Genomic DNA, 25029 nt, shown 5'->3' on the forward strand with positions numbered 1-25029 from the left:
CTTGCTGTGCTAAGGAATAAAGTTAGAACTCTGGAATAATGGAGTGGAACTTTTGAAAAACAAAATTCCAAGAAGCTCCCCTCCCTGGGCTTAACAAATGTCTTTGAATACACCATAATAGTGGCCTCCCAGGGCTCTGGAACGTTCAACTGCTAGTAAGCATTCTATGCCATGAAGTAACTAAGAATTATGAATTCCAGTCCCTACTTCAATTCCTAAGTGGAAGAGCAGAGGGGAAAGTGCTACCTGCTCACTGTGCTCTCCTAATGCACTCCTAAAAGCTGTGGCTACCCATTTCCTTAAATTTCAAAGATGCTCTGAGCATGTCTATGTACTCTCCTTCACCCATCCAGCAGCCAAATGCAAAATACAGCTGTCTTTCTAGGAGAGAAATCATGAGGCTAGTTTTTATGTCAAAGGGACAAATGGAGAAAAAGGGTATAATTTCTTTTTTTTTTTTTTTGAGATGGAGTCTCACTCTGTCGCCCAGGCTGGAGTGCAGCGGTGCATTCTTGGCTCACTGCAACCTCCGCCTCCTGGGTTCAAGCAATTCTCTGCCTCAGCCTCCCAAGTAGCTGGGATTACAGGCGCCTACCACCACATCCGGCTAATTTTTGTATTTTTAGTAGAGACGGGGTTTCACCATCTCGGCCAGGCTGGTCTTGATCTTCTGACCTCATGATCCACCCACCTCGGCCTCCAAAGTGCTGGGATTACAGGCATGAGCCACCAGAAGTTTTCAAATCAAAACTTCCACTGTCCAGTAGAGGACTGCTGGTTTCAAACACATAACTTCAATATTTATCCTTGCATCACCAACACCAAGAGCCTTTTCATAAAGAGAAAATGTAACCAAGAGTTTCACTGAAAAATAATGCCTTCCTGTTGGCACAGCTCACCTCTGTTTAGTAAAGTGTAGTACTTGGTCTACGTGCAGCAGAACTGCAGGGAGATGGAAAAGTGGCACATGCTTGTTAAAATGCAGATTCTCAGAACTAACGACCTAGAATTTCTGAGAAATAGGCCCCCAGATCTGCAGTTTAACAAGCTCTCTAGATGATTTTCATATATGCGGACGTTTAAGAACCTCAGTAGTAATTTAGGCACTTCATCCCACTAATCCCTTGAAAGGCAACTGGGCATATCTTTAGGATTTTCATTTATATTGGGAAAAGCAAAGATATCAAAACATTCAAGCAGCAGTACTCTGCTATAAATGGCTAAGAAACAGAAATTACTGTTACTGCTTGCTTCATTGAGCAGTTGCTATTAACTCCCAGGCACCCTTGGGGAAATAATTGTGGCCCTAAGGAGATTATACTCTTTAGTTACTATGTAGAGAATGTGAATGTTAACCAAAAAGCTCGAGAAAATCTCCAGGTTGCCACATCCTTGCATGGTTACCAGCTACATGACCTGGACAATCCACTCACTGAATCTTCATTTCCTCAACTTGAAAATGGAGTTTATCATACTTACCTTGATGGTTTCAGAGTTTGTTTGTTTGTTTGTTTGTTTGTTTTGAGATGGAGTCTAGCTCTGTCGCCCAGGCTGGAGTGCAGTGGCCCGATCCTGGCTCACTGCAAGCTCTGCCTCCCAGGTTCATGCCATTCTCCTGCCTCAGCCTCCCGAGTAGCTGGGACTACAGGCGCCCGCCACTGCATCCTGCTAATTTTTTGTATTTTTAGTAGAGACGTGGTTTCACTGTGTTAGCCAGGATGGTCTCGATCTCCTGACCTCATGATCCGCCCGCCTCGGCCTCCCAAAGTGCTGGGATTACAGGTGTGAGCCACTGCACCCAGCCTGGAGTTTTGTTTTGTTTCTGAATCTACTACCACCATACGTGGGAATGTTCTCAGTACATTTCACATATGCATGTCTTAGAGCTTACAGTTTATTATAATCACTGATTTGAGAAGCTGGAGCCATTGCTGTTCTATTTCTTCTTTAAAACGTGTGAGTGTGGGTTACTTTAAATACCACTTAGCTCAAAAGGCAAAGGCAGATTTCTAGTTCCAATTTAGGTCTAGTTGTAAACAGCTTTCTTTCTAATATTTGTCTTTATATCTTTCCCTGTGGTAGTTCTATTAGTTTCTTTTATAAATCTGATATAGAAAAAGTGTCTGTCACTGAAAAAGTGGGGGGAGAGTTATTCACTAGGATCCATGTGTTCAGTGTTTAATAGAGTAAATGCAACATACATGTATGCATGTATGTATATTATGTATATATTAATAGCTATTTATACTACAGAGGAAATTTCATGGAAGAATAGGATCTCTCTTTTCTAGGGAGCTGAGAAAGACTAGTAGTTCCTACAGAAAAAGCAAGTACCTACAGATTTAATGGTAGTATATCTCAAAGGTTAAAGGTAACGATAGAGCCACAAGATTTGATCAGAGCCCATGAAAAAAGCTGTACAAGGGAAAGAACAAGTTCTGCTCAGCACGCACATGCAATAATGTAGTGACCATTTCTCAGCTGTGGCTTCTCCAAGAATCATCATTTAGGGCAATGGTATCTAAGCAGATCCTTGCACCAAACATCAGCGAACTGTATTGTCCCTCATGACACTGGCCACAGATAAGTGAGTAGGACAGGCGCATTTCTTTGTTTCTTTTTCTTCTCTTTTCTTTTTTTTTTTTTTTTTTTTTTGAGATGGAGTCTTGCACTGTCGCCCTCGCTGGAGTGCAATAGTGAGATCTTGGCTCACTGCAACCCCTGCCTCCCAGGTTCAAGCTACTCTCCTGCCTCAGCCTCCTGAATAGCTGAAATTACAGGCACCCACCCGCAAGCCCAGCTAATTTTTTGTATTTTTAGTAGAGACGGGGTTTCACTATGTTGGCCAGGCTGTTCTCAAACTTCTGACTTCGTGATCCTACCTACCTCGGCCTCCCAAAGAGCTGGGATTACAGACATGAACCACCGCGCCCGGCCTGACAGGCGCATTTCTGAAATGCATTCCCTCCAATGGAGAAAAGAAACCCAGAGTAAACGAATGTACGTTGTGAGTAAAGAGAGGCAGCTGTAGGCCACCAGGAAATCTTAAAGTTAGAACAAGAAATATTGTCTTGTTACAGAAATGGCATGACATCTCCCTGCCATTGAAAATCTATCTTGATTATTGTTGGCAACTCTAATCTTAGAAATACCAAGGGCCAGGCAGAGTGGGCTCACGCCTGCAATCCCAAAGCTTTGAGAGGCTGAGGCAGGAGGATCACTTGGGCCCAGGAGTTTGAGACTAGCCTGGGCAACATAGGGAGACCATGTACCTACAAAAAAAATGTTTTTAAATTAGCTGGCAGAGGGGACAGTGGGCGGTGTCATGTGCCTGTCATCCCTACTTACATTGGAGGCTGGGGTGGGAGGATTGCTCCAGCCCGGGAATTGAAGGCTGCAGTGAGCTATGATCACACCACTGCACTCCAGCTGAGGCTACAGAGTGAGACATTGTCTCAAAACAAAAACAAAAGAAATACCAACGAGAAAATCCATCAACTTCCTTTTATCTATTATATTCATTCATCCATGCATGTATTTATTCATTGACTTATTGGCAAGTATTTACTGAGTCCTTCCTAGAAACCAGTACTGAGACCTGGACTTACAACAAGGTTTTCTTGGGATCCTCGATGTAGAATCCTTTTCAGACTTCTGAAAGCATCAAGCTTATCCTGTAAATCTGTCAAGGCTGTTATCCAGAAATGACAAGCTGAATTATTTTACATAAGGCAACTTAAAAATATGACATATGGTTTGCCTTTACATTTTCTCTGTGCTTTGTATTTTATCTGAGATTATATAATTCGTATTTAAAACGCGAAATTTATTGAAGATCTACAGAGGGATCAGCCTGAAGAACACTAGTAAAAACTAACCTTCCAGACAAGAAAACTGGAGCAAGGTTTGGAAAACAGTAAACTATGATAGAAGAACATAGACCAGAAATGCAAAGATCGGGGTTCTAGTTAAAGGCAACCAGTCACTAACTAGGCTTCACATATAAAGCAGCAATGCCTTAACCTCTCCTACCCACCTCATGGTATTTTTATAAGGATAAGATGATTACACATTCATACTCACAGTTCTGTAATCATTCTGAAAATATACTATGTTGTAAATATACAAGGTGGTCTTGGCCGGGCGCAGTCGCTCACACCTGTAATCCCAGCACTTTGGGAGGCCAAGGCGGGTGGATCACGAGGTCAGGAGATCGAGACCATCCTGGCTAACGTGGTGAAACCGCGTCTCTACTAAAAATACAAAAAAATTAGCCAGGCGTGGTGGTGGGCGCCTGTAGTCCCAGCTACTTGGAAGGCTGAGGCAGGAGAATGACGTAAACCTGGGAGGCGGAGCTTGCAGTGAGCCCAGATCGCGCCACTGCTCTCCAGCCTGGGCGACAGAGCGAGACTCCATCTCAAAAAAAAAAAAAAAAAAAAAGGTGGTCTTATATTCTGTCCTTTTATTTATTTTTTAGTTTTTGAGACGGAGTCTCACTCTGTTGCCTAAGCTGGAGTGCAGTGGCATGACTTCGGCTCCCTGCAACCTCCACCTCCTGGCTTCACGCCCTTCTCCTGCCTCAGCCTCCCGAGTAGCTGGGATACAGGTGCATGCCACCACACCCAGCTAATTTTTCTATTTTTAGTAAAGATGGGGTTTCTCCATGTTGGTCAGGCTGGTCTCGATCTCCTGACCTCGTGATCCACCCACCTTGGCCTCCCAAAGTGCTAGGGTTACAGGCATGAGCCACCTAACCCGGCCTCTGTCCTTCTAATAAATGATATTTGGAAAGAAAAAAGGAAGGAATAAAGGGAGGGAGAGAGGGAAGAAAATAAAATAGCAACAAACTAAGCAGTTGTAGATACATAATATCCAGTATCCAATTTCAACAAGGCCCTCTCCCACATATTTATTTCAGTGTTCTTTGTAATTCCCCCAAGTTAGGTATGTATGGGAGGAACATAATGAACCATGGGCAAAACTTTGTATTTATAATAATTGAAGCCAAATGGTTTGGGTTTGATAATCTTCTGGGCTTTATCAAATGAGCTTGATCAGTTTCCACTGGTACCTGGGTAAGAGAATGCTGACTTGGGTCTCCAGGGAGCCAGATGGCCTCCTACTCATCATATTATACTCTCAGTCTATACCACCAAGGCCTGTGGGGTAGGATAAGTGAGATGCTATGGCTCTCGGGAATTTTTAAGCCCTCATACAAGTATAATCTTCACAAGTCTATAAAATTTCAAATAGTAAATAGAGGGGAGAAGGGAAATATAACTGCAGAAACCACTTCCTCTGCAGATCAAATAATTAATTGCATTTTCTGCATGTGGTTGTTAGCACTAAAAGTGCAAGGAGGAAGTGGGAGGAAGAGGCTACTTCTACAAGAAGAGGCCAGTTCTTTCTGTCAAGCTTTAACTTGCTTAGATCTTGAATTTTAAATCAAACGGGGAAAGGCAAATTTCAAGCTCTATTTACTTTTTAGCAAATCGGGACTTCTTGTCTCAATCTGAGTAAACTCAGAATTCTTTTTGGGCCACTGTGTTTGTATTATGGCCATTTCTACCAAAATAATTTGGTTGGTAGAATTTGGGTTCGAATCCCATTAAAATGTCAGCAGCATCAAACCCTTAGCACAACAGAAGGTAGTGGAAATAGAAGAGTGAAAAAAGTTACAAAGGGAATTATAAACCTTTCAATACCTTTTCATTTTTATTTCTCTAAATTAGCACATCTTTAAGGCTACTGGTCAGTCAGAAGTACCAATCTTGCTACAATGAACATCTGTGATTTCAGACAAACTAGTTCTGGCTCCAAATGCCCTAAACCTAAATTTGATTATAGGAAGAAACTTACGTTTACCTGAGAGGCCACCAGCCTAGCAGTGTGCTGGTAACTCATATAATTTGATAGGTAGAGGGCTCAGTGCCTGATGTCCCACATGCTGGGACTTTGGTCTCTCTGTCAGCTTGCCATAGAGCATACCCAGCTATGCCTAGGGCAGAACGGCCCTGCAATTTAGCAACAAATCATCATCAGGAAGTAATTAGAGAGCTCTGCTGTTTTTTGAAGCTGGGATAATCCTACAGGCAACTTCCCAATTTTTTCCTAATTATTTTATTTATTTAGGGTCATTATTTATGTTGACACAAAAGGTCATTTAATTGAAAATGATTGGTAATTCTGGTGGTCTGCCCCTTCTTTTAAAGAAAGCATACATTTTCTTTTGCAGGTCCCTCTCTTCTTGTTTGAAAAAAATAATAATAATAAAACGAAGACTAAAATGAATGCATCCCACCAGTTGCAATGGGCATCGAGCCAGAATTACAGCAAGCACTGGCGCTGCAGGGGTAAGAAACAATGGATTTTAATTGGTGCCTAGGGGTAAAGGTCAGCTCTCTTGGAACAATGGGCATCTATGGTAGTAATTGACTGAGTCCTCTGTGGGAGTCTGTAAATGTCAGCAATGTACTTCCAAATGGAAGCACAAAGGGCTTGGGCCCAAGGAACAAAGACAGTATTAGTGAGTGGAGAAAATACGTAAATCAGTTCGTTAAATAATGCACTAATAAAGCAAAAGTGGTGGACACACACAAACACACCACATCACAGAGATTCAAAAGAAAACAGACTACTTCAATATCAAATACATGCCTTCCTATAAGATCCAACCTCTCTTTCCCCAGCACAAGTTCAGCTGTTTTCCTGGACAGCCTGGAATCCAAACACTTTAATTATTTGAGTCAAGTTGGATGGGTTTGGCTCCTAAGAAAAGCTACATCCATCCCGGTGAAATCTGGATGCTGATGGGGATAGCATCCACAATTAAAGTTGTAGTTATTCTTGTTCAAGGGAATTTGGGCCCTTTTTAGAAAGTAGTAGAGAAAAAGATGAAGTACTAATCATTGGAACACCAGGCCCCTCCTGCTTCCCCACAAATGCTTGGCTGCTTCTTTTATTGCTATGTTTTACTCCATTTTTCTCATTTCCTCATCTTTCCCAATATTCACCCACTCCTGTGATCCAGACCACCTCCTCAGGGTCCAATAAGTTTAGAGAGACTGTATTCTCTACATCAAGAATTTACATAAACGATCTATCAAAGGAACATTTTATGAGCTTTAAGAGGCAAAAGAGTAGAATATGTAACATAATAACACATTATTAAGATTCTAGAGAATGAAAGATACAGTACCTTTACCAGTATAAACTCGATGCTCATTTCCAACTACATAGTTCTCCCTTCCATCTGTGAGCTCTCTGCAGACAGGGCCCTGTGTTATGCATGTTTGTATCTCTACTGCCTGGCAGTCAATAAATATTGGTTCAACTAAATGATATTTTTCTGTTGTGAATGTCATGACTTTGTGTTATGCTGATCTGCTTCATTGGTCAGCTTAAGCCCTTTTATGCTGCTTCCCTGACTATGTGAGATTACAGCCCTCTCTAAACTCTTAAAGCCTTTGTTGTCTGTACAATCCACTCTACTACCTTATATTATTTAATTGCATTCCTGAGCTGGGATGGTAAACTCCGTAAGAGCAAAGCGAGGTTCATGTTTCTTTTATATTCACCTTTATGCTTGCAGAGAACAAGGCACAAGCCAGGTGTTCAATAAAACATGTCAATTAATCTCTTCTTAATATTATACCCCTAAATTTCATCAATAGTTCTGACTGGCCAGTAGTACTTAAGATACATGCTGAATATATCAAATCTATAATGTGAATTTTAGTTGTATTAATTCAATATTAATAATGTCACCACTGCCCATTTACTGATTTTACAAGCAAGACAGGAAGAAAGTTTATTGCACCTGAAAATAAATTACATTATTACATAAAAACTGTAATTCAAATGGGTCATGAGGATTTTTTTTTTTTTTTTAGATGGATTCTTGCTCTGTCACCAGGCTGGAGTGCAGTGGCGAGATCTTGGCTCACTGCAAACTCCACCTCCCAGGTTCAAGTGATCCTCCTGCCTCAGCCTCCCGAGTAGCTTGGACTACAGGCACGCACCACCAGGCCCAGCAAATTTTTGTATTTTTAATAGAAACGGGGTTTCACCATGTTGGCCAGGATAGTCTCGATCTCTTGACCTGGTGATCCGCCTGCCTCGGCGGGATTACAGGTGTGAGCCACCACCTCCAGCTGGAATTTTTTAGGGTTTAATTAGCATAGTAAGATAGCAGTGGAAATTAACATGTTTTACGAGTCTAAATAGACACTCTTAATCATTTAAATCTGAAAACTACGTCAAGATATGCATTGTGCGCTTGTGGACACTAGTTTCTCATAGTACATACACCGAAAGACTGTTTTCATCTTCCTTTCCCCTTCTCCTTTGACAAATATTTGCATCTCTGTGAAACCTTCCTAGTCTCCAAAGATAGAGTTCTATGTACATAGCTATCATGATACATAAGTACTGTGCTGTAAGAGATTGTTTATACATTCATCTCCTCAACCAGACTGTGCAATCATTAAGAGTAAGAACAACCTCTTATATTTCTATTTCCCAGTTCTTAAAAAAGATCTGGAACAAAATAGGCATTTAATACCTTCTGGTTGAGTTGACAAAAGACAGCATAAGGCATGGCCATATAATTTGGAACAGTTAAGAAGAGTAACAATGAGACTAACATTTGTTGAATGCTTGCTAGGTCTCAGACACTGTTCTTTGCTGGTTTTGACTCTTTATTTCCCATAACTACTTTAGGATGTTGACACAATCATTATATTTTAGTTTGGAGAGGAGGAAACTGTGTCATGCAGGGGTTTACAACAAATAAACCAACAAATAAAATGTTGTCTAAGGGCACACAATTATTATGTAGCTTAGCTGGAATTTAAGGCCAGGTCGCCTGGCTCCAGGGTCCATTATATTAAATACTGTTCCACAACTAATGATGCCCCTGAGCAAAAATTCATAATGACCACCTTCAAATAACAAAGTGTATCTCCGCAGTGACAGGAAATAGGTGCTGAGTTGGTATACGTGACGAGTGCAGAAAATACAAGGTATACATATAAATACAAGAGATCATTGCACAGTGGTATGAGGGAGTAGCTAAGAGAGCATTAAAAGGACAAAAATCCATTAAGTGTGGGCAGCAGCGATGATATTTGAATCTGCTGCAGGGGAGCTGGAGAACCTAGATCTAGGCCTACCACACCCCCACACTTGAGTCATAATTGTGCTTTCCTTCCTGGCAAAACCGATTTCAACCACAGCCATCAATATCTTTTACCCCTTTGAAACCACTCAGGAAGAACAGAAAGATAAGGGTAAATTGTACTCCCTCTGAAAGTCTTAATAAGTTCCTGGTAAATTAGCTCTCCTCTCTCTGAGAGATCTCCAGAGATTCCTAAACTTCTACTGCTGAAAATATTTACAATTTTATTATTTCTTTTTCTTCTGCCCTCTGTCTTCATTGTGCTCTTTGTATTAGCATTCTCCCATTACTCTGGTTACTTTAAATTCTGCACAGTAATCTCTGTCGTCTTCTCTCTCGGCTTTACCTCTGTATCCTTCCTTCTATGCCTCTTCTCTTATCTGTGAGAGGCTGTGCATTCCAGATATTTTCTTTTTACATATCTTTTGTTTTTTGGATACATCCACATTGTCATTTTCTCCACTATAAGCATGTTCATTTCCTGGTGCCAGATGCCATCAATCAAGGCAACACTTAGTATTCTACTCCCCAAACACACATACTGCCCCAAGCAGCCAGGAAAAGATTTTTCTCTCCCAGCTGTTATATTGTATATATCCCATACAGCAGGCCTTTTCACCTATGAGCATCTAAGCCTACCTGTTACCTACAAGCTATAGTTTTTGTTCTGCAAAACCTAATTTAAGTACTTGACTTGAAAGGTTGTAAAACAAGAGCACATTAGAGGTCAAGGACCCAGTAAAGTAGGGAAGTGATGCTTTGAGGAACAAAGGGACAAAACCATCAAAAGAAGATCTGGTCAAGGGAAAGGTCAGGTCAGCAAAAGAAATGTTTGAATGGAAACAATTTAGCCCCTGAGGCTGGTGGTGCACTCTTAATTTCTCCAGGGGAGAAATAGTGGTTTTATTAAAGATTCATCCACATTGACTTTGTTTTCATGACAGCACCAGGAGAAAGCTTGGGGCAGTTCTGATACATTGGAGTGAAACATCTCCACCCTAGTAAATATCGCAAATTTCCTGTAGCGGACAGCATTCATCTCCATCCATCTTATATAAGAGCAGCACAGGCTATTCACTAGAAACAAATGTTCTAGATACAGTATGTCAAACACAAGATGACGGAAACCCCTGAGAAACCACAGGGAGTGTGCTGGAAGCAAACAGACCAGAATGTTGAAAAGACCTCTGACCATTTTCCACAGCAGAGCATAACTTGGAACCAACCAGAAATAATGCATTTGACCTTCATAAAAGGGTAATGGATGGGCACTTAATATTTGGCCAGCCAGACCTCAGAGAACATGAGCTCTAATAAGGACAGATGATGAGACAAAAATAAATAAATAATTAGACAGATAACTTTAAAAACAAATTGTTCTCAAAGAAGATTGCGCAGATAGTCTATTATGCTTACTTGAAGAATGGTCAGCTTCCAAAAGGTTTCCTTTTGTATTTGAGAATTTCTGATCACTTGGCCACAGAGGCAACCTATTTTCCAAGAACCACTCAGTGATATAAAAAACATGCAGTTTCCAGATCAATCTTCATAATATTTAGAGAGTAATTTAGGCTATCATTACCTTGATTAATTTCATTTGTTAAAAAGGTATCAAACCAAAAGATAGAGTCTATTTTTTAATGAAAAAAGCATTATCTAAACTTAGAAGAGATTTATAGGTGGACCTATCTATTACCTTTCTACCTATTTATTGAGCTAGCTAAATACCTGTATCTTTTAAAAATACATAAATGTAGCTAATACAATTTTGAATTATAATGTCAATAACATATAAACTTGATCATCATACAGATATAACTTAGTTTTTAAAGTCACCAATTCATGATTAATATGTAATGCATTAGATGCTTCTTATATGTGATAGACATAACACTTACAAATGAAGAATAACAAATATGTTAATTAAGCAGGAAGCTTCTTTCTATCAAAAAAATACTTTGTACTAGGCAGGGCATGGTGGCTCATGCCTGTAATCCCAGCACTTTGGGAGGCCGAGGCGGGCGGATCCCGAGGTCAGGAGATCAAGACCATCCTGGCTAAGACTGTGAAACCATGTCTCTACTAAAAATACAAAAAAATTAGCCAGGCGTGTTGGTGGGCGCCTGTAGTCCCAGCTACTCGGGAGTCTCAGGCAGGAGAATGGCGTGACCCTGGGAGGCAGAGCTTGCAGTGAGCCGAGATCGTGCCACTGCACTCCAGCCTGGGTGACAGAGCAAGACTCCATCTCAAAAAAATAAAAAAAAAAAAAAGTACTTAATGCCACATGAAGTAAAGCAGTAAACCACCTCTGAGAACCAGGCAAATTAGCAGATATGGGGGACAAGAAAAGATAGGAGGAAGGAAAAAGTAAGTTTTGGAATGTATGCATTGATCAGAATTTACTGCCTGAACCTGATTTATCATTAATTAATTTATTTTTTACTACATCAGTGTTAGATAGACACAGATAATATCCCAGAAAAATCAACTAGGTACTTAGTGTGTAATGTAACATATTGTATTAAAATTTAAGAGTGTAGTTTTATTAGCATTTTTAAATTTATGAATGTTATAATAGGTGCTTTGATTTATATAAACTAATATAGAATATATGGCAATTTCGGGTATAGGTCAGTGTACAGAGAGGAGTGTCTTAGATCAGTGTTGTTTTTCTCTATGTTCCAAAGAGCCCACGAGTTCCAGAGGCTTCCGCAGGGACTTCTTGGAGTGACAAGGGGTTGTGGAGTGGGCACTGCTCCTGGCACTCCAACCCTGTTTCAAAGAGAGCATTCTGCACTTATTATTCTGTAGCTCATTTGAAACCCAGGGGATTACTGTTGGAAAATCACTCCAAGTAAAAAGAGAGATGCAGCATGCTTTCTTGGATTTTATATTTTTAATGTTCAGGAAGAAAACAGAACAATGCTTCATGGACTGAAACAGTATAAACACTCAGCGGTACCCAAAAAAAGATCAAAGGAGAGGACCTTTCCCTTTGGCCATCATTCCTCAGGTTAAGTGTAGGGAAGTAAGGATTTACTTACTACACGTCACTTTTATTGAAGTTTGGAAAATGCCACTTCCACTATGTCTCTGAATTCATGTGTGGTTTTTTTTTTTTTTTTTTTTGAATATTGCTCTGTTGTGCCCAGGCTGGAGTGCAGTGGTATGATCTCGGCTCACCACAACCTCCACCTCCCAGGTTCAAGTGATTCTCCCGCCTCAGTCTCCCAAGTAGCTGGGATTACAGGCACCTGCCACCGCACCCGGCTAATTTTTTTGTATTTTTAGTAGAGACAGGGTTTCAGCATATTGGCCAGGCTGGTCTCAAACTCCCGACCTCAGGTGATCCACCCACCTCGGCCTCTCAAAGTGGTGGGATTACAGGTGTAAGCCACCGCACCTGGACCATTTCTTTATGAATGAAACATACATCCTTGTTAAAAAGATTAGAGGCAAATGGATGATCTTGTGTACAAAGTGACAGATGAAAGAGTTAAGGTGGAATGAGCAAGTGTTGCTTGTCCGCCAAGGGAATGTCATGCACCCCCTTTGATGTATTATACAATACGCTAGCTCCTCTTGGCCTCCCTAGATAATGTCAAGTGAGTGCTATGCAAAGTCCTGGCATTTAAAATATTAATCATGTTCTTCTTGGTTAGAACAGACAAAATTATACATTATGACCTAGAAATGACTAAAACCTACAGAGATTCTTTACTGTTCTTGTTTACTCACTTGAAATAATTAAATTTATAGTTAGAGAAAAGAAAGGAGTCAAAGCTGATTTCACAGAGCATTTCATTTAAGTTTCAGCCTAGGAGTCCAAAAGCGAACCAAAGTTCAATTCAAATATTCAGTCATGTATTGGACACCTACTGTATACCAAAATCCTATGCTCGGCACGTTAAAGAATACATAACTGATTAAGGCACTTTATGCCATCTAGGTCCTCGCATTCTAAAGGGAGTATTAGACATGGTCAAGAACAACTATAATCAGAAGTGAGAGTAAAGTGCTAGAAAAAAGAAAACGGATGTCTTGGAGATAAGAGGGAGTGAGCAAGTCTCCTCAGGGAAATTGATTAAATTTTATGGAAGAGGTGGCATTTAAGGTTCACTTTCAAGGTCTAATGATCTTAGCTTATCATTCCCCAGCTGCATGTAACTTCAGACAAGTCACTAAACTCTCTGGGACTCAGTCTCCATATCTGTTAAAGAAAAGAGTAGAATTTTAATATCCCCAAAATCTTTTAGATTCAGATTCAATGATACGTGATTCTTCCTAAGAGAAGGTGGCAGATCCTATCAACCATTCCTCTTTGCTGTCCTCAAAAGTCACATACATGGGCCTGGCGTGGTGGCTCATGCTTGTAATCCCAGCACTTTGGGAGGCCGAGGCGGGTGGATCACCTGGGGTCAGGAGTTCGAAACCAGCCTGGCTAACATGGTGAAATCCCATCTCTACCAAAAGTACAAAAATTAGTTGGGTGTGGTGGTGCATGCCTTTAGTCCCAGCTACTCAGGAGGCTGAGGCAGAAGGATTGCTTCAACTCAGGAGGCGGAGGTTGCGGTTGTGCCACTGTACTCCAGCCTAGGCAACAGAGCAAGACTCTATCTCAAAAAAAAAAAAAAAAGGCTGGGTGTGGTGGCCCACACCTGTAATCCCAGCACTTTGGGAGGCCGAGGCGGGTGGATCATGAGGTCAGGAGTTCAAGACCAGCCTGGCCAAGATGGTAAAACCCCACCTCTACTAAAAATATGAAAATTAGCTGGGTGTGGTAGTAGACGCCTGTAATCCCAGCTGCTCGGGAGGCTGAGGCAGAGAATTTTTTGAACCCGGGAGGCGGAGGTTGCAGTGAGCCGAGATTGTGCCACTGCACTCCAGCCTGGGCAATAGAGTGAGACTTCATCTCAAAAAAAAAAAAAAAAAGTCACATACATGATACACAAACTACTCAACCAAATGACAAGAGGAATTAAGCATGCTCAGATATAAAGAGACAAGAAGTCAATAATCAAACCCTTATTTAGAAAGTGCCACATATAATAGGGTAATTAAAACTTAAACATCTGGAGAAAACACAGTGTTTAATGCTGGTATGTACCAAGAGACCCGTAGGAATGACCAATGTATTCTGAGGAGCTAGGGTCCTCTTTATAGAATGAAAGTCTTAGAAGAGTCTCTCAGCAGGAATGATGTAAATTAAGTGGTGATAACACAGAAATGAGAAAAAACTGGAGTGTGAAGGGGGTGCAGAAAACATAAAGAACAAATACTGTCTAGTTTTTTCTTTGCTAGATAGTGTGCTGAGACCACAAGGATAAAACAACTAAAAGAATTGGCTTTTCCAAGTAAAAAACCAAAACAAAACACTTTTTTTTCCTTTTATTCCCCAGTGAATTCCACTAGGGGTTTTATATTCTTTAATCCTTGAAGATGTTACACGATCCTTGTGAAGGGAGAACAGCTTGGGTTAGTTGGGGGTGATGGGAAAGGTATGGCTGATAAAGACACACAGAGTATATAGAAGTTTTCTTTTTAGGCAGAATACACATCAACTCAGAGAATTTGAGAGTGAAATTGAGATTTCAACTTTTTTTTTTTTTTTTTTTTGAGACTGAGTCTCGCTCTGTCACCCAGGCTGGAGTGCAGTGGCGCGATCTCAGCTCACTGTAACGTCCGTCTCCCAGGTTCACGCCATTCTCCTGCCTCAGCCTCCTGAGTAGCTGGGACTACAGGCACCCGCCACCACGCCTGGCTAATTATTTTGTATTTTTAGTAGAGACGGGGTTTCACCATGTTAGCCAGGATGGTCTCAATCTCCTGACCTCGTGATCCACCCGCCTCGGCCTCCCATAGTGCTGGGATTACAGGCGTGAGCCACTGCGCCCAGCCAAGTTTTTTTTTTTTCTTTGCTACATTTGTATTAGTTCTTCCCATCACCTTCTGCATCCCAGCTGTTCCTTTCCGGTACAGGTTAAATCATCTTTTCTTACAGCAGACTTTATGTGACCAATAAACCTCTGCTGACACAAACAAGCCTTGGGATTTATCATGAACTGGGGTGGGGGGAACTGCTCTCCCTCTGAGACATCGTGACAGATAGCCAGCCTGCCTCTCCTCTGGCACTGGGACCACTCAGCCTTTTCTTCTGGGCTAACCTCATATATCAGCGGCCAGATGCAGGTTTCCTTTGAAAGAACAATCTAGGCTAATACCTAGGACCCCTCTTTCTATCTCTTAGTCAAGATTTCTTACACTGACATATGTTGAGATTACAGTTTTTACTGTAACAGACCTAGCCAAGGAAAGCTGCTGTAATTTACAGCAGGCTTGCAGGGAAACAGTCGATGGATGATCATTAATTTAAACTGTAAATAAGATCCTGCTTTATTCTGGACTCTGATCCCCGGTAGTACCCCTAACAAGCTGCCTGCAAAGGCAAGGCATGAAGCCTGCTGTTTCCAACATGATGATTGAAGAACTGCTCTTGTCCGCACAAATGGCTAAAAATAGCTATAAGAATGTGAAGGCAAAACAGGTTTCCGGGAATGCTGAGAGTTACCCTGATGTTGTCAGTTTTATTCCAGTTGCTCCCACTAGCGTGAAAAGCAGAGAGAAGTATCTGGTACAAAAGATTTTGACTTGCTAGATAGCACCGCGGAGACCTGAGAGAATTAATACAACTTTTTAAAGGAGTCTGCCCTTTTCACTGGAGGATAGCTTAAGTCCTAGAAGAATTGGAGCAAATGTGAGCACTGCCTTTGTTCTGCATAATTAACAGAGCCTGAAATTTCTTTCTTTTTGTTTTAACATAAATTCTCATTGATTGGAGAAAATATATTCACACTTTAAAATGTTGTGCAAGTACTATCTCTTTGATTCAAATATGTCCTTTGGGTGGGCGGAGTACATATTTCATGGTGATAAATTCACCTTATAAGTAGAAAAACTATGCACAAATATACTGCGATGTCAACTTTATTGATTTGTGTACCATTGTTAAGACGTTCATCGTCCTCCAATATTTCTTAAATCTATCAGCATCTCAGAAAGTGACCATGAAGGCCTCATTTATCTATAGAGGAAAAGATCCCTTCCTTTAGGTTCACTCATAACATTGTGATTTAAACAGCTCAGGACCACCTCTGCTCTGAAGGGTAACAGTCCCAGAGAAAGCCATTCCCTCATAGTCATGCACAGGGACTTCTCTTTTTGTAGAACTAGGGTGTGTCAAGTCTTAAGAACAGTAAAATGCCCATGGCTAAATGCCCTTTTAAACGTCCTTCAGATAACTATGGACTAATTATGCAGCCTGATTCATGGTATATTGACTTGAGTGGATTTGATGGTTAGGCTCTTTGCTGTATTATTACCTCTCTGCTTCCCTTCCAGTCTTAGCAGCTATATCTGGACTTGAGCATCTCACTCCTTAAGTCCTGCTCCTGAAACAATCCTGGAGTTTCTGGATCATCACCATATATTCTGCAGCTACAGAAAAGCCTATAGTCAGATTTGATATTTGGCATCTTTTTTTTTTTTTTTTTCATGTTTCTCTCTAACAGCATCAGTGAAACAGAGACTATCATTGATTACTCTGAGGTCTCTTCCAGGCATAAATGTCTTCCATTTTCCTATATTAGTTTACAAATGGAGAAAATGTAAATGATTCACCCAGAGTCACCTGTTAGGTGGAAGTAGATTCAAGGCAGGGACTTAGATTTCTGAATCTTAGTTCAGGGATCTTTCAATTACAAAACGTCATGCCACATTTAGTACTAGAATATAGGACCTCTGAGGATGAGTTGCTGGCTTATTTCTCTTTACATCCTACAGTGCATAGCACATTGCCTAGCATACAGTTTGTTGACTGTTAAATTAAATTTGCTAAAAATGTGAACTAGAAGAAAAATTAAGAGAGATTGTAAAAATCGATACAAAGCCAACAAACAACTAAATTTCATCATAAAAATAAAAGATATAAGTTCAGTTCCTTAATTTGGGACTGCATACAGCAGATCAAAATTGTTTAGGTGTAATTGTTGATGAAGTAGCCAGCCAATTAAGGGAAGATAGGAATGTTTGGGTGTAGTTCTAAATTTGTGAGGTTGACAGTATTGGTTGTGTGGTACTGTGGCCATCAGCCACCCACAGCTATATCAATTTAAATTAATTAAAATTAAATGAAATTTAAAATCCAATTACTCAGTAACACTAGCCATATTTCAAACATTCAAAAGCCATAAATTGTTAATGTCTAAAGTACAGAAGAGCTTAGAAGAAAATTTCTATCATCAAGTTCTGCTGGACACTTCAGCAAGAAAAAAGAATGAAGAGAAAACATTAATTAAGCTTTTACTATTCTGTGCTAAGCACCTGAAATGCCTAATTTCATATAATCCTTACAACTTCCCACACGAGGTAGGTAGGTACTGTAACTGTCCCCCTTTTAAACCGAATCCCACTGTGCTTGGAGAGATTAAGTAAATCACCATGCTTATATACTTGGTAATAGGTTTAGCTGGGTTTTCTCTCTTCTTCTTACTCCAGAGTCTATGCTCAACTGAAAAGTTATGCTGTTTCTACTGAAGAACTTGAAATGCTTACAGCCAGAATGAACATTACACTTTATATTAGTGGTTCTTAATCCTAGATACCTATCAGAAGCATCTGGGGAGCTTTAGTAAGATATAGTTACCTGAGCCCTAATCCAGAGCAACAGTGGTGGGGCTAGAGCTTGCACGTTTGGGGACCACTTTTGACAAGCAGCCAGAATTGAGAGTGATTGCTTAAGAGATATTTTCATCACCTTCCATATTCCAGATGGCAAAATGCAGACCCTACCCAAGGTCACTAACAGTAGCTAATGAAAAATCTGAGATGAGAACATAGACATCAGTGCTACCTTCATAACACATTATGGTTTAGGGTATGTTAATGAATGACACGTTTCTATTTCCTGATTAATACTATTAGTTCATGTAACCTATGTACTACTTAACAATCGTATGTCAGAATTTGGAATTTGATAATGCAAGTTTATGAAAATAAAGGTATAGATGTAGTACCACTCCCCTTCAGGGACAAATAAATGTCTTCCTCATTTAAAAACAATATTTTCTTCCTAAAAAATGACATACCTGAGGAGTAGATAAGCTCTCATAATAGGAGATGTATGACATAGTGGAAAAAGTATGACTGCTAACCAAGACGCCTTAACTCTAGTCCTAATTATGGCCATAACTCTGCAATGGGCACAAACTATTTCTTTCCTCTGAATCTCAGTTTTCTTATCTGTAAAATAACGGTGTTGTAGATGATGATCTCCAAGGCTTCTTGAAGCTAAGATCCATGCTCAGAAGGGACTAATCTTATCACTCTTTCCAAGCTACTCTATTCTGCTAAATGCACTGCATTCATCCTGACATTTGTGTGCAGACTGAACAAACTTTAAAAATGAAACTTCCTATCTGCTGCAGGACAATGCATTCACTTAAATTCTAGTTAATCTATTTGTTCCATGTCAAGGAAAAACTGGGACATCAGATGAAAATCCATCTTTTCTGCTGTCTTGTCAAGACTCATTCTGACTCTTCTGATTGACTGGTCAGAACTCTTACTAGAGAGTCAGCAGCATCCACCCAACAAGACTCATTCTTTGTAGCTGCCTTTTGGAAATGGTAATGATCTACCTATCCCTCACCCTCTTACATTCACAGCTGCTGATCTGAAAATTATGATGTGTCAGACATTTTACAATCTTAACATCCATCAACCCATCTTTACATTTCTAATCCCAGATTAACTGTAATGGATTTTTAGGTAGCTAGAGTGGTTAGCCAACCAAGACAGAAGTCACATCATGAATGAGTAGCATGCTGAATATACATTTCTTACCTTACGCTTGTTGGTAGGACACACATAGAGATAGCTCAAAATGGTTTTCAAACCAACTTTATCATTCAGCTTCTCATAGGTTGTTCCATAATCGGTTGACCTATAATCCAAAAAGAGCATTAATGAGGACAGAAGTATATGTCATTTGGCTGCTTGTCAGTATAATGCATGCTTTACACAGTAGAATGGCTCTCAGGAGGTTTCTCAATGATTCATGTAGTATATAATGATGCTTAATTATGTACACAGTAGCATCATGTGAGTGGTTAAAATTTGCATTTAGATTGAATTGGTAAAAATTAAAACTCCATCTCTCTACTGCTCCTTAATGTACGCACATTGCATAAAGAATGTGGTTAATTTAAAAAGATTAAGAGATGAGGGTGTCCCTTGATTTGACCAAAGAATTAAAGAGTTTTTAGTCAGATATGACATTTCCAAACTTTTACTTTATGTTTGGCCCAGTAGAAAAGCAGGTTCTCCTGATTTATCAACAAATTGTGTTTTCTTTCATGAGTCAGGGAATATATGGTGGGTCAGTCCCTTCAAAGGTCAGTCAGTCTTTTCTTATTATTTAAGAGCAAGAAAATGTCTCAATAATCAGTGAGATTTCATGAATTTCATACTCCATAGCCTTTTCCAGTGTTAAGCAATCCTGAGTCAGGAGGACATGACTTCTCGACACTGACACTGTTTTTTCCTATAGAGCCTCTCAGCTTTAGCCATTGGTCAATAAATTATTCACTCGGATTAAATAAATTGCTTTTAATTACCTTCTCTATGAAGGTCTACTCTATTTCAGAATTTTAATCTTATTATATCATCATGACAACTATGTACAATAGGGATTATTATCTGTCTTTGATGAAAATGGCTGAACTTCAGTGACTTATTCAAAGAAATTTAAAAAATTTCCTGATAAATGGACAGCTAGAAATTGAATTCAGGTATTTTCGCCTAGGCCCCATGTTGCTTTCATTATACCTCAGCTTTTTTTTTTTTTCCTTTTTTTTTTTTTTAAAAAAATTTAAAGAATATAGGGCTGGGCACAGTGGCTCACGCCTGTAATACCAGCACTTTAGGAAACCAAGACGGGTGAATCACTTGAGGTCAGGAATTCGAGACAAGCCTGGCCAACGTTGCGACACTCCTTCTCTATCAAAAATGCAAAAATTAGCCTGGCCTGATGGCACATGCCTGTAGTCCGAGCTACTTGGGAGGCTGAGGCACAAGAATCACTTGAAACCAGGAGGCAGAGACTGTAGTGAGCCGAGATCACACCACTGCACTCCAGCCTGGACCACAGAGCAAGACTCTGTTTCAAAACAAAACAAAAAAAGGCCAGGCACACTGGCTCACACCTGTAATCTCAGCACTTTGGGAGGCTGAGGCAGGCAGGTCACGAGGTCAGGAGTTTGAGACCAGCCTGGCCAACATAGTGAAACCCTGTCTCTACTAAAAATACAAAAATTAGCCAAGCATGGTGGCAGTCGTCTATAATCCCAGCTACTCGGGAGGCCAAGGCAGGAGAACTGATTAAACCCGGGAGGTGGAGGTTGCAGTGAGCCAAGATCGTGCCACTGCACTCCAGCCTGGGCGGAGTCTTGTCCAGAGCAAGACTCCATCTCAAAAAAAATAAATAAATAAATAAAAAGGACATAGACATAAAATGATATAAAATTTCCTCTCAGCTTTCTTTTCTTAGGAGATTGTTTGTAAAATTCATTCATTCATTCATTCACATTTGTAGCACTCCTAAGACTTACCAGACAGTGTTGCTAAGTGTAAGGACATAGCACACAGCCTCTACTCTCAAGTATGTCACAATTTTATTTGAAAGAAAGAAATATAAACAAATATTTAGAATATGTTAAGTGCAAAGATAGAGATATGAGTTAACAATGCTTAGAAATTAAAGTTGATTTAATTCGAAAAACACAAAAATTGTAATCATCTTAATTAATTTCTGAAACTGGTAAAAGTTACAAATTCCTATAGGCCATAACGACTAAGCAGAATTGCATGTTAACAACCTCACTACCATCCATTCAGTATACACAGTGGACCAAACACTGGAGCAAGAAAGCTGCATAAAAGTGATCCTGGAGCTAGGAATTAAGGATTTATTCTGGCTGGAAATTCAAGATATTTCTTCCTAAAATTTATACATAGATGGCAAACAGAAAACGGTCAACACTTCAGAGGATTTAGATGCCATTCCTAATCGCTGAGGAACAAAGTACTACGCAAAACTTCTTGAAAGAACTATGAACCTTGAAAATGGGTAAGTTTAGAAAACAAAATTAGAAAGAGCATCACAGACTAGATGTTACCTTTGTAACAAAAATATATACCTGGCTTATTTCAGGACCAGTCTCTGCACTACTATAATCAAACACACATTAGCTTGATAGTCAAGAATATTTGAGGAGCATTCCAGAGCTATTTCACAGGATATCTTATTAATGAATCACAACAAAACTTCTTAACATCTTCCTTCCAAATCTATCTTTTTCTCCAAAATTCATAGCTTGTTTGAGGGAATTCCCTGGTATTCTCTAAGAAATATCGAAGAATTCTTTCCTAGCCCAGTCCACTTTGTTTTCGCTTTTTTTTTTTTTTTTTTCTTTTTTGAGACGGAGTCTCACTCTGTCACCCAGGCTGGAGTGCAGTTGGGTGATCTCTGCTCACCGCAACTTCCGCCTTCTGGGTTCGATCGATTCTCCTGCCTCAGCCTCCCGAGTAGCTGGGATTACAGGCACACATCACCACATCCAGCTAATTTTTGTATTTTTAGTAGAAATGGGGTTTCACCATGTTGGTCAGGCTGGCCTTGAACTCCTGACCTTAGGTGATCCACCCGCCTCAAACTCTCGAAGTTCTGGGATTACAGGTGTGAGCCAAGGCACCCGGCCCCTAGTCCACTCTTGGTGTTTTGTCTTTTTTTCCATTCTTATCTTAACCTCCTGAGTCAACATTCTCTTTCTTGTGTGTCTCCCGCATCTTGCTAGCCTTATTCTATCTCCTTTTATTGTACAGTTTTTTCTATTCATTATTCTGAACAATACTCACAAGTTCCAGAACAAAAAAACCAGATGCAAAATCTACCTGGGGGCGGGGATGGTGGGAGAAGAATGAAACATGTAAATACTGCTATATTAATAAATTTAGCCTGATGATAGGTGGAAATCGGTAAGACTACATGAGAGACAAGAAAATGGTTCAATTTTCCTAGTGGAATAATGAAAAAAGAGACTAAAAAAGTAGGAACTAGTCTATAGAGAGTGTGAAGAGTTTCTTATAATTTCTATTAACTTGATCCCTGAGCTACTCGATGAAGATTTTCACATTTAAAAAACAAGCCATAGAAAGGCAAATGAGGATTATATTATAAGGATGCTACATACAATCATCCTTATTTGCATGTGTGTGTGTGTTTGTGTGGGTGGGTGAGTGGGTGAGTATTAAACTCTAATCCCAATGTGACAAGATGACAATAGAGTGACTTAGTCAGATTTACATTAGCAACATTTTTTTCAGAAAGCTTACACTATATTATTGGACATTTTTATCTTATTGTAACATAATTCATCCACCAATCCAGATCCCTCAAGGTATCTATCATTATTTTTTGGTGCCATCACTTGTTTCTTGATTTTACAAAGCTCAAAAGTTAACCCAAATTTTGATAATTCTCCACTAGAGCAGAATTGCCTATTTAAACATCATGGCTTTGTAATAAGCAATTGATAGAGAGAAAATGATGCATTTTCACACATCCAAGTGGTACAGATCAGCGGTTGTCCAAGCGTGTCCCAAAGAACTGGAATTAGATAGAGTGTTGACAAGTTTCATCGGTAGAACCAACAATCAGCCGGCGTACATTGGTATGGTGGTACAGAAGTAAAAATAGTAAATACTTTCAAACCAGTTGATAAATAGTTACTGCACCAAGTTCTCTGAGTAGTTGTTCCTGCGAGGCTTATCACCTATGGTCTCTCACTCAGGGGCCTCTCAAGTTTCCTCACAGTCTAGCAATCAAAAGATTGAGGCCTGGCACAGCAGAGATCCTCAAAAAACTTGCTCCAGCACCAAGACCAACACACCTGTGCTGATCTGTCGATGCCTTTGCCAATCAGGCTGCTCCCCAGTGGGGGACACAGTGACCTTGGGTTGGCACTGCATCATGGAAGGCAATTTCTTTCTTTTGTTATTATTATTATTATTATTATTATTTTGAGACGGAGTCTCGCTCTGTCACCCAGGCTGGAGTGCAGTGGCGCAATCTCGGCTCACTGCAAGCTCCGCCTCCTGGGTTCACGCCATTCTCCTGCCTCAGCATCCCGAGTAGCTGGGACTACAGGCGCCCGCCACCATGCCCAGCTAATGTTTTGTATTTTTAGTAGAGATGGGGTTTCACCGTGTTAGCCAGGATGGTCTCGATCTCCTGACCTTGTGATTCACCCACCTCGGCCTCCCAAAGTACTGGGATTACAGGCATGAGCCACCACGCCCGGTCATGGAAGGCAATTTCTAGTGCCCCTCTGTAAGTCCTGATTCACAGCTAAGAGATGCTTCCAGTTCTAGTCGCACATTTATGGGAGCTGTAGTCTCCTATGGACATGAGCTCTAAAAGAGCAGAGGATGCTTTTTGCCCAACAAAGAGGTTAGGCAGCAGACTGGCTTGTGAGCCGATATGCTGGTTAAATATTTTAACTATCATCCCTAGGTATGGGAGAGGACATTTTCCAAGAACAAAAAATATTGAGAAATATGTGATTAGGCAACATTTAATGTTCCTTTACTTCATAACTTTTCACAAACTATATTATTCTAATATACATTGAACCTCTTAAAAGCATATTTCATGCGACATTTTCCAAACATATTTGATGATAGGATCCATTCTTGAGGGATATCTAATGAGATTAGTGTTCTGAGCAACACACTTGGGGAAGCATAAGATCAAAGACAAAGAAAAAAAAAGAAAGGTATGGATCTTAATTTCGTAAGAAAGAGGAACTATAAAATTATCTTAAATGAAAATTGCAAACAGAAATGCCAGCCTGGACTAACCATAAAGTGACTACTGTTGTAATAGAAAAACAAAAAACAAAAAAAGGAAAGGATCTTAAAATGTGTATCTTAAATAGTCATAATTAAGATGCGACATATGCAGCCTTGAATTCTTCACTTGTACCATTTTTAAAAAATCATTTCAAAGCAAGCATTTTTATTTTCAGGCTTTGTTTACAGGTTGACTTATCTATAAATGAAAAAGAGAGCTTCTGTCAACACCTATACTGTGCCAGAAGAAGCTAAAAGCTTAACAAAATAAGCATTCCATGAAAATAAATCTGCAAGTGATTAAATCAAGGCTTACTTTCTTCTGCTTTTGATCTTTAATCCTTACACTACGTTTTTACAAATATATCTTAGTAGCTTTTAGAACATTTGAAAGTATGTCTCTATTTAAGTATTTACTGTATACACAGAGCTGAAATAAGTCGCTCTGTGGAGTTCAGAAACCACCATCTGAGGCATCCCACCCGCCTTCCAAGAGGTTATTATCTTTTTGAGGTGGCAAAATCTCCTATCACGCTTGAAAAAAGGATCAGTATAGGATACAGCTAGTTTCCATAAGAGTTGCAGAAATGCAGTGTGTGACTGGATTTCCTTCACTATAATCTTATGCCATCAAATGGGATGCTAAATAAACACAGAATCATTGTAATCTAAATTAACCCATAAGCACAATGATTGGCACAGAAGCAAACTATAAATGATAGCTTTTGTTACTCATTTTCTAACATTTTTTTCTTGATTGTTTTTGGTGTTCTTTGCTCAATACTTACTAAAACCTACAACGTGAACCCTCAATGAAAACCCCAACCACTGAAAATAATTTTGAGTTAGGTTGCTTAGAAGAAAAGATATTCATAAAGCAATTA

At 39.9% G+C, this 25029-nt stretch overlaps 1 protein-coding gene across 16 annotated transcripts in view; it reads right to left on the bottom strand.

Annotated features, from left to right (window-relative positions):
• The window catches only part of SORCS1 (sortilin related VPS10 domain containing receptor 1), a 607476-nt gene that overhangs the window by 236833 nt on the left and 345614 nt on the right, over nt 1-25029 (bottom strand). For all 16 annotated transcript variants that reach the window (XM_017015617.1, XM_047424547.1, XM_017015615.3 and 13 more), the window contains exon 3: nt 19079-19178. In XM_017015617.1, coding sequence (XP_016871106.1) covers nt 19079-19178 — 100 coding nt within the window. The remainder of the gene's footprint in view (nt 1-19078; nt 19179-25029) is intronic.

Source organism: Homo sapiens, chromosome 10 (assembly GCF_000001405.40).
Source record: "Homo sapiens chromosome 10, GRCh38.p14 Primary Assembly".
Taxonomy (NCBI): domain Eukaryota; kingdom Metazoa; phylum Chordata; class Mammalia; order Primates; family Hominidae; genus Homo; species Homo sapiens.